Below are 8978 nucleotides of genomic sequence, written 5' to 3'. Positions count from 1 at the left end.
TTCCCCAGCTCCCTCACTATGTCGGTACCACAGTTCTTGCAGTGCTGTATCCATCTATGGCTTCAGCATCTAATGGGAGTCCCCCTCCTCAGTGGCTCCTATTCTCACCAGGCTCCAGTGACACATTTTTCCCTTTGAATTTTCAAGCCTAGTGTGGTAACAGCTTCCATGATATTTAGGTCTTAGATGTGTTGATATCTGCTAACAATTTCCTTAACCCTGACCATACCTCTATAAATAATTTATCAGAGTGTGACTTCTCTTTCTGTTGAGACCCCAAATCGACACATTCCCCACTTCAATTATGAGGTTTAGCATTGTTAACTGACTTTTCCAAACACACAGCTGGTAAGTAAGAGTAACTTACCTATCTTGTGTTCCCAGTCCACAGCTCATTCCCTTACACCATATTGTCTTTATATGTATATGCATTTTAAATACCTGCTTTCCTCTTTCCACTTCTGTGTATCACCAGAGAAACTCAATTATCAATAGTCAAGACCTAGAAGACTTCTCAATTTGTCATAATTTCAAAAAGGCTTTGATCAATGTTCATTTCAGAAAAGTATCTGAAATGTAAACTCATTGAAGCATTTTTTCCATCACTTTCATAAAAATTATTCTTCTAAGTAAACAATTATGATCCTCACAATGCTGAAAAGTTTTGGGAAGGAATGACTTATTAAGAAGTAAGCAGTTCAGCAGAATAAGACTATTTTTTCTGAAATATTTTTTCAGAAAAATATGATTAAACAAAGTAATAAAACAAAGTGTCTTATAATAGCCATTCAATTCTTCATTCATATCAGTATAGCCCTGAAGGCACACAATACTTAGGCCAGCATTTAATTGACTGAGGACATGAAAATAGCTATAGGGAAGTCATATCAAGAAGCAGAGATACATTCTCTGTTTCATTTTTTTCCTTTTTTCTGTGGTTGGTTTAGAATGCATAAACTCATTTATAGAAATAACTAAAAAATTATAACAATCTTTCAGTTCTATTTTGCTCTTTCTGAAATCATGATGATTTTGGATATATGTAGAATGATACTATTAAAATTGTCAGCTGGGCATGGTGGCTCATGCCTGCGATCCCAGCACTTTGGGAGGAGGAGGTGGTTGGATCACCTCGGACCAGGAGTTCAAGACCAGTCTGGCCAACATGGCAAAACCCTGTCTCTATTAAAAACACAAAAATTGGCCAGGCATGGTAGCATACTCCTGTAGTCGCAGCTATTCTGGAGGCTGAGGCAGGAGAATTGCTTGAACCCAGGAGGCGGAGGTTGCAGTGAGCTGATATCGAGCCAGTGCACTCCAGCCTGGGTGACAAAGCAAGACTCTGTCTCAAAAAAAAAAAAAAAAATTACAATGTTATAAAATTAAAAACTAGATCTTGTCTTTAATTATATGATGACTTCCTCCTAGGTGAACTTTATGTTTTTATTTCAAAGACAAGCTAAATGTTTTAAGTTGAGCATGAACCAGATTATTATAATTACAACTATTTGACTATGAGTACTTTTTCTTCTAAACTCTAGGTTCCTTAAGAGCAGGTACCACATCATAATCATTTCTGTAATTTCAGAACTACTCTGAAATATAGTGGGCACTAGCTAAATGTATGCTGAATTAATTGTGATATTTTAGCACAAATATACCCTGATAATTCTTTGCCATATTTGTACTAAATTCAAAATGTTTCCTAATGACTATAATGCTGTTTCTGTGAAATAGGGTTATATATTTTCTTCTAATATTCCTCAAAGACAGTATGTCAGTCAACCACCTTAGAACATTCACACTTCTATCTATGAGATTCTCAGCCTTCTTTTCCCCAAATTTACAGTAACAGTGTAACTGCTAGCTACAGTTTCTATATGAGTGTGTGTCTTCACAAGCACTCTGGACATGAAATGCTTTTGTACATGTATAACTGACAGCACATAAGACAGAAAAAAGACTTTACTTGAACTTTTTAAAAAGTAGATATTGTTGACTCTGGACACCAGAATCTTAATTTCAAATTGCTCAATCGTTGGTTGAGTCTCAAGTTCAATCAAGTTGAGCTTTGGGAAGGAATGACTTATTAAGAAGTAAGAAGTTCAGCATAATACGACTATTTTTTCTGAAACTAATTTTCAGAAAAATATGATTGAAAAAGGCAATAAAACAAAGTGTCTCAAAATAGCCATTCAATTCTTCATTTATATCAGTATAGCCCTGAAGGTACAAAATACTTAGGGCAACATTTAATTGGAGGGGCCATAATGCTTGCCAAATTGTAATACATGTACACATCTTCCTTCTTTCTTCCACTTGTTTGAATTGAGAATTTTTTTTCCCATTCCACGTATTTTTATTTCTGTGAATTTGAAAGTTACTCTTATTGTTTGCCCTAAAATGTCAGGCGCATATTTAACTCTTGAAAGATTAAATTATTATTTTTATCTTCTCAAATGAAATAATACAACTTTAACATCCAACCATTGATATCACCTGAAAGATATATTTCTCTCTCTCATTTATTAAGCACTATGGATCGCTTTTTTTAACCACCATTCATTTTATTGCACTTTGCGAAAGAAATTATACTGAATATGTAAAAATAACTGTAAAATGTTCAAATAATAAATTAATAGAATTAAAAAGTACATCCTTCTTTATCTTCCTCCCTACCGCCCGCCCCTTCTAGTAATAATCCCTGTTAACAATTTAGTTTGTATCCATCTGGATTTACTCTTCTACATTTACAAACAGGTAGATATAGATGCAGATATGCATATGTATGATTTGAAATGATTATTATTTTGAAGGTTTTAATAAATTGGATCATGTTTTCTTTTTCTTTTTCCTTTACATCTTCAAGAGATTTTTCTGTCTGTACAATACATCATTTCACTGAAGAGGAAATAAAGACCCAGAAAGGTGAAGTGACTTGCCCAAAGTCACACAGCTATTAGCCCCAAAGATCTTTATGAAAGATTTTCCTCGCTTATCAGTCAGGATAGGCTAGATTGTACTTCCGGAAACAATTAATCTTTAAAATCACAGGGGCCTGCCACTACAAAGATGTGTTTCACACTCATTTAATAAGTCCATCACTGTCTCTCCACTCACCTTACCTCCAGGACTCAGAAGCAGCCTCTGCCAGTCTCACAGCAGAGGGAGAAGGAAGATGCCAAATCATTACCTGGCCCAGAAAGCTTCCTCAATAACATTCCATTGGTTAGAGCAAATTACAGGAACAAACCTGACATCAAGATGGAAGTATAATTGTCAACAACAAGAGGAGCCATAATGCTTGGCAAATTGTAATACATGTGCATGTCCTCCTTCTTTCTTCCATTTGTTTGAATTGATTGAGAACTTTTTTCCTATCCCATTTTTTTCTCTCTGTGAATTTGAAAGTTACTCTTAGTTTTTACCTTAAAATGTTAGAAGCATATTTAATTCTTCAAAGATTATTATTTTTATCCTCTCAAACAAAATTATTTAACTGTAATGTCTAAGCATTGACTTACATGCTATTATTCTCTACTATTTTAGTTATTTTTATTATTTCACAAATCATATTCTATTGCTTTGGGTTTTACAGACAACATTTGTGGTGATTTATCCATTTTTATCACATATTCTAGTAACTCTTTCCTTTTTTAATTACAGATATTCATTGTGGAATTATTTTCTAGCCTTTCAGAGTGTATCCTTTAGAATATCTTTCGGTAAGGAGCCATTAGTAATAAACTCTCTGTTTGACTCTCACTGAAAATGTCTTTGTATCTCCCTCTTCCTTGGTTATACTATTCCAGGTTAAGATTTATTTTTGTATCACACTTTGAAAATGTTATTTTGCTATTTTTTGGCTCCATTATTGAGGATGAGAAATATTTGGCTGATCTAAATGTTGTTTCCAGTATTTAATCTGTCTTTTCCTTCTGGGTGCTTCTAAGATTTTCTTCTTTGTCTTTGATCATCTTCAGTTTCAGTAGGATGGATCTTAGGTTTGACCACAAATCTCACAAGAGTTATAGTTAGATTGTCTTAAGAGAGATTATATTTTCTCCCGAACCCAGAACCTCAGCAAAGAGTAATTACTCCTTGTTGGCCGGGCGTGGTGGCTCACGCCTGTAATCCCAGCACTTTGGGAGGCCAAGGTGGGCGGATCACGAGGTCAGGAGATCGAGACCATCCTGGCTAACATGGTGAAACCCCATCTCTACTAAAAATGCAAAAAATTAGCCGGGCGTGGTGGTGGGTGCCTGTAGTCCCCGCTACTCGGGACGCTAAGGCAGGAGAATGATGTGAACCTGGGAAGCAGAGCTTGCAGTGAGCCAAGATCGCGCCACTGCACTCCAGCCTGGAAGGCAGAGCGAGACTCCGTCTCAAAAAAAAAAAGAAAAAGAAAAAGGAAAAAAAAGGAGTAATTACTCCTTGTTGATTATTTTACAGATGGTGTAACCATCGCTGGTCTGACTTTATGCAGAGGTTCTCTTGTTAAACTTCTGACATAGCAGGACCTAGGCTTTGTCTTTTGACTCTATAGTCCTATGCAGCCATATAAATGAAGCTCATGGAACAAACCATGGATAAATGGAGTTCCCTAGAACAGTCAGGGACTTGAATCTTGCTCACCCAACTCTAGATTAATGATCTTCACTATATGCTTCCCTTTTGAGGATTTATTTGACTTCTTTCTGAATCAGCAATGCAGTTATAGATGTATTTATAGATGATTTTCATAAGTGGGTAGGGAAGATAATGTGCCAAAGCACTGCCAAGGAAATTCCTGATGGGCTTGTTTAACAAAAAATTCATAAGCATAAAGCTTGCCGCTCGCTCGAGCTCTCTGTGTGTGTGTGTGTGTGTGTGTGTGTGTGTGACATTTCCCACTTGCAATTTTTTAAATAGGAAGAAAAGAGTTTAATTTAATTGAACCTATTTGGTGAAATAAATGAAATATCACTTGCTAAATACATACATATAATAAAAAACAATATACAGAATACTTTTTAAACAAAATTTACATTTAGATTAAAATAAATTATACAAAATTGATTTTCTTCAAAAATAGCAATATTTTCTATAATATTTCTAGATAAAATAAAAAACACTTATTTTTGTAGTTTTCCAGCTTTTGCTTATAAATCAAGATGAGGCAGAAGATATAGTCATGGAAAAAGACAGAAGAAAACAGACAAGTCAGTTGTCAGTATTCACGGCCTCTGATTCTGCCTTGACCATAAATGAAAGTGTTATACATACACCTGCTAAAAAGCATATGAAGATGTAGGTTCAACAAAGAAATATAAACAGTAACAACCAAATGTGGAACAACAACGGCAGGCTTTTCCATTCAACTTTAACTGTAACTTGTTCCCTTAAGTTCATTTACTAAAGATAAAACCTGCACTAAAATCCTTGTTTCTTGATCTCACAAGCTTCTCACTCTGGTAATTCTTTAACTGTCAATTACAGATTTTTAACAACATACCTGAAATCCTTATTAGTCAAAGGTCAATTATGAGGTTTATTGTAACATATTATAAGATGTAATCCTTACTCCCACACTTCCCCAAAATATATTTCTTCAAAGAATTGATAACTCAATATCCAAGAATCAAATCCAAAATGATAATAAATGTTATACCCAAAATGACTTAACTAGAACAATTCCAGAGTGCCAGTAGCAGAGATAATGCAGACATAAAACAGGGTGTTTTCAATGCTAGCTTCTGGAAGAAAAAAATAGGTCCTCAAAGCATCAGATTTCAAGCAGGAGCCATTTAAATAGTAAGATTATCAGTAATTAATGTATTCAATGGGAGGCCTATCAGCAGAGATAGTCAGTGATTGAGTGACCTGCATACAACTTACAGCTTTTCTTCCAAATATCAAATGTAAGATAAAGCCCGTTTAGAGAAGCTTTTCAGTATTTGTAATGATTTCTGAATTATCTGTGGGGAATTCTGACTTAATTGGATAATGTTTGATATATGTGTCCACCATTAAATCCAGATCATGCTTTAGATCAAAATTTATGTTAAGCAAAGCCAAGTTACTCAATCTTTGGTCTGTCAAAGGGTTCCTCAAGTATGTTTTGAGATGCTTTTGTCCATTTTCATTTTATGTTGATAAAAATTCTCAACTTTTATCACAGGAAGGATACACAGGACCTTCAGCAATGCATACACATTAGTAAAAAACTTGATTTAGTCAAGTGGAGAGTTTCATAAATGGTGGATGGAAGCTCTACACTCTTCCCTCTGTCTTTCCATTTGATTCCCCAACAATGCAGTTTGGCTGAGAGCACACTGGGATGGGGTAAGTCACTTCTATACATGCCAGTATAGTGTTCCTCTAATGTGTAAAATTTGAGCTGACCTATGACTGAGGGTACCAGAGATAAGCACTTAAGAGCTTTGAGGTGCTGTTCTGAAAATCTGTCTTTAAGTTCCTGAATAATGTGCTCCACTGTTGAACACAGGTTTTCTTTATAAAAACTCTCATAGGGTAGTTGGAATTTCAGGTTACCTTGCTGAGCTCTGTGGAATTTCCCAGGGAATTTCATTTGAACATCAAGTTGGATTGTCATATTGTGGCTTCCTCAAACCAAAACTCATTATAAACTTCAATTTTTTCTGTCACTTTACTGAGTGACTGCAGTATTGCAGTCAAGCTACTGGCTGCAGACAAGACCTCAGAGGTTTGCCCCTAGAGATTTTTCCAAAAGTCTCTTGTAAAAAAAAAAAAAAAAAAAAAAAAATAGGACATTTTAAAGAACAACAATGGTAACAATTAAATCAAAATCTGTTACTGTACTTCAGGGTACAAATGCTTGGGCAGCTATACGATTATTGCATCTGATATTTGTGTCACTATTTGTACCATGCCAACATAAAATAAGTGCTTTCACAAGGTCCACTAAAATTTCAAAAGCATCCTGCCCTCTTGTCCATGGAGAATGGCAAATTTCCTTCAGTTCTTTACCCCTTTCTTCACTCTTCAGGAAAAGAAAAAAAATAACATTTTCATGTTCTAAAAGCAGTTGTGGTAACTGATTGATAGAAAAAAAGAACAGGCTGGGCGCAGTGGCTCACGCCTGTAATCCAACACTTTGTGAGGCCAAGGCGGGGGGATCACGAGGTCAGGAGATCGAGACCATCCTAGCTAACATGGTGAAACCCCGTCTCTACTAAAAATACAAAAAAAATTAGCCAGGCGTGGTGGCGGGTGCCTGTAGTCCCAGCTACTGGGGAGGCTGAGGCAGAATGGCGTGAACCCGGGAGGCGGAGCTTGCAGACAGCCGAGATTACGCCACTGCACTCCAGCCTGGGGGACAGAGCGAGACTCCGTCTCAAAAAAAAAAAAAAGAAAAAAGGAACAAACTTCAATTGTTCCCAATGCAACAGAAACTCCCCATAACAGTCAGTGATTCTACCAACCACATATTTAAGACATAAGAAGAGGAAGAGATATCTCCTCTGTAGGTATCTTGGGGATATGTTTTTCAAAGTCTAGAAGCAAGTACTTCATTTTGGAAGAAAATTCAGTGGACAGAATGGAAGCCTGCCCATAATGATACTCCATTTGTAGCCCCCACTTCTCAGTTGCCACAGTGTGGAATTTTAAAGCCAAACTTTGTGCATCAGCTTCCTAAGGTGGGAAGCCTACAACATCCTCTTTCAGGTTATGAGATTCATGGACAAATCTCACCAACATAGGTGATGCTCTTCCCCCATTATGTCCTCTATATTGACAGTGATAAGGGAAAGAAGAGCGAGTCTCTTACTTCCCTGAACATTTCTTCCTGAATATAGCTGTGACAGATCTCTAGCATCTGTTTCTGATAGGTTTCTTAACAGAACAGTGTGTTAACTGCAGTTGTCTCAAAGTGCTTTCTCAGGACCTCTTGAACAGAATTTACCAGCCACTCTACCAGTTCTTAGAAGTTATCAGGAGTAAAGAGACCTTCTGGGATTTCATCAGCTTCATGTTTATATAGAGGTACGTTTTGCTTTCCTGTAAGAATACAAATTTCTAATAGAAATTTTAGGTATTCTTTGTTTTGCTTCTCTTCAAGGGTTAAAGATAAAATGTCCTCATCTCCTTCTTCCGCACTTGGGATTCTAAGCATTGCTGTTACTAGTTTCTTTATATTATTTTCTTTTCCTGTTGAGAAGTTTGGTCATTTTTTTTTTTTCTGTTTCCATGTTCTGATTTCATCTTCACTCAACTCTTTTATTCATTTTCTATGTCTACTATGTGGATTGTCTAAATGATTGGTAAGAGCGCATCGTGTGGATGTTGCATTATCTCAAAGAACTGCCCTATAAATACAAGGTCTACAGATCATAGAGTTCTCAAAGTGTTCGGCATATAATTTATAATGTTTATTTAGTTGATTAGGTGTTTTATTTTCTAAGTCTCTGCTCTGCTACAATTCTCCACCCTCTCCTGGCATCTGGCCACAACCCCCAGAACCTGAAGAAGGCCAGGTCAGACTCCTTGCTCTTCCCCTTGCAGTTGGGGGCAGTGCTGAAGTTCAGCCTTGTCACTGCCTGCCTGCTGACCCAGACCCTCATCCCACATCCTCAGAGTAGCCTACAGGCCTGTCTGGCTGGAGAGAGAAGCCTGGCTGGTGACAAAGGGAGGGGCAGGCTACACATGCTTTTCTGCTTTTAAATTCCAGTCTTTATTCAGGTAGGATATGTTTTCTCTCTAAGCTCAGTGTTTTGAAATCATCAATACCACCAATAACATGGCAAACACACTATGAGCATTGACAAATTGCTGACAAGAGGACTAAGAATTCTCCAGAACCACAATTAATGATTACTAGTTGAACTCTATTTCTATTTTCACATAGATTCAAGTAAGTTTTCAGAAAAATTCATCATTATCCAAACCTCTCACTATCCCATATCTAAAGGGAACCAAATAATTCAGATATTCAGATATCACAGCATCCTTTAACA

At 36.6% G+C, this 8978-nt stretch overlaps 1 pseudogene; it reads right to left on the bottom strand.

Annotated features, from left to right (window-relative positions):
• Positions 1–5632: 5632 nt before the first annotated feature.
• LOC100131680 (52 kDa repressor of the inhibitor of the protein kinase-like) lies at positions 5633–8642 on the bottom strand (annotated as a pseudogene).

This window comes from Homo sapiens, chromosome 6 (assembly GCF_000001405.40).
Source record: "Homo sapiens chromosome 6, GRCh38.p14 Primary Assembly".
Lineage (NCBI taxonomy): Eukaryota > Metazoa > Chordata > Mammalia > Primates > Hominidae > Homo > Homo sapiens.
This window is presented reverse-complemented; position numbering and strand designations above follow the sequence as displayed.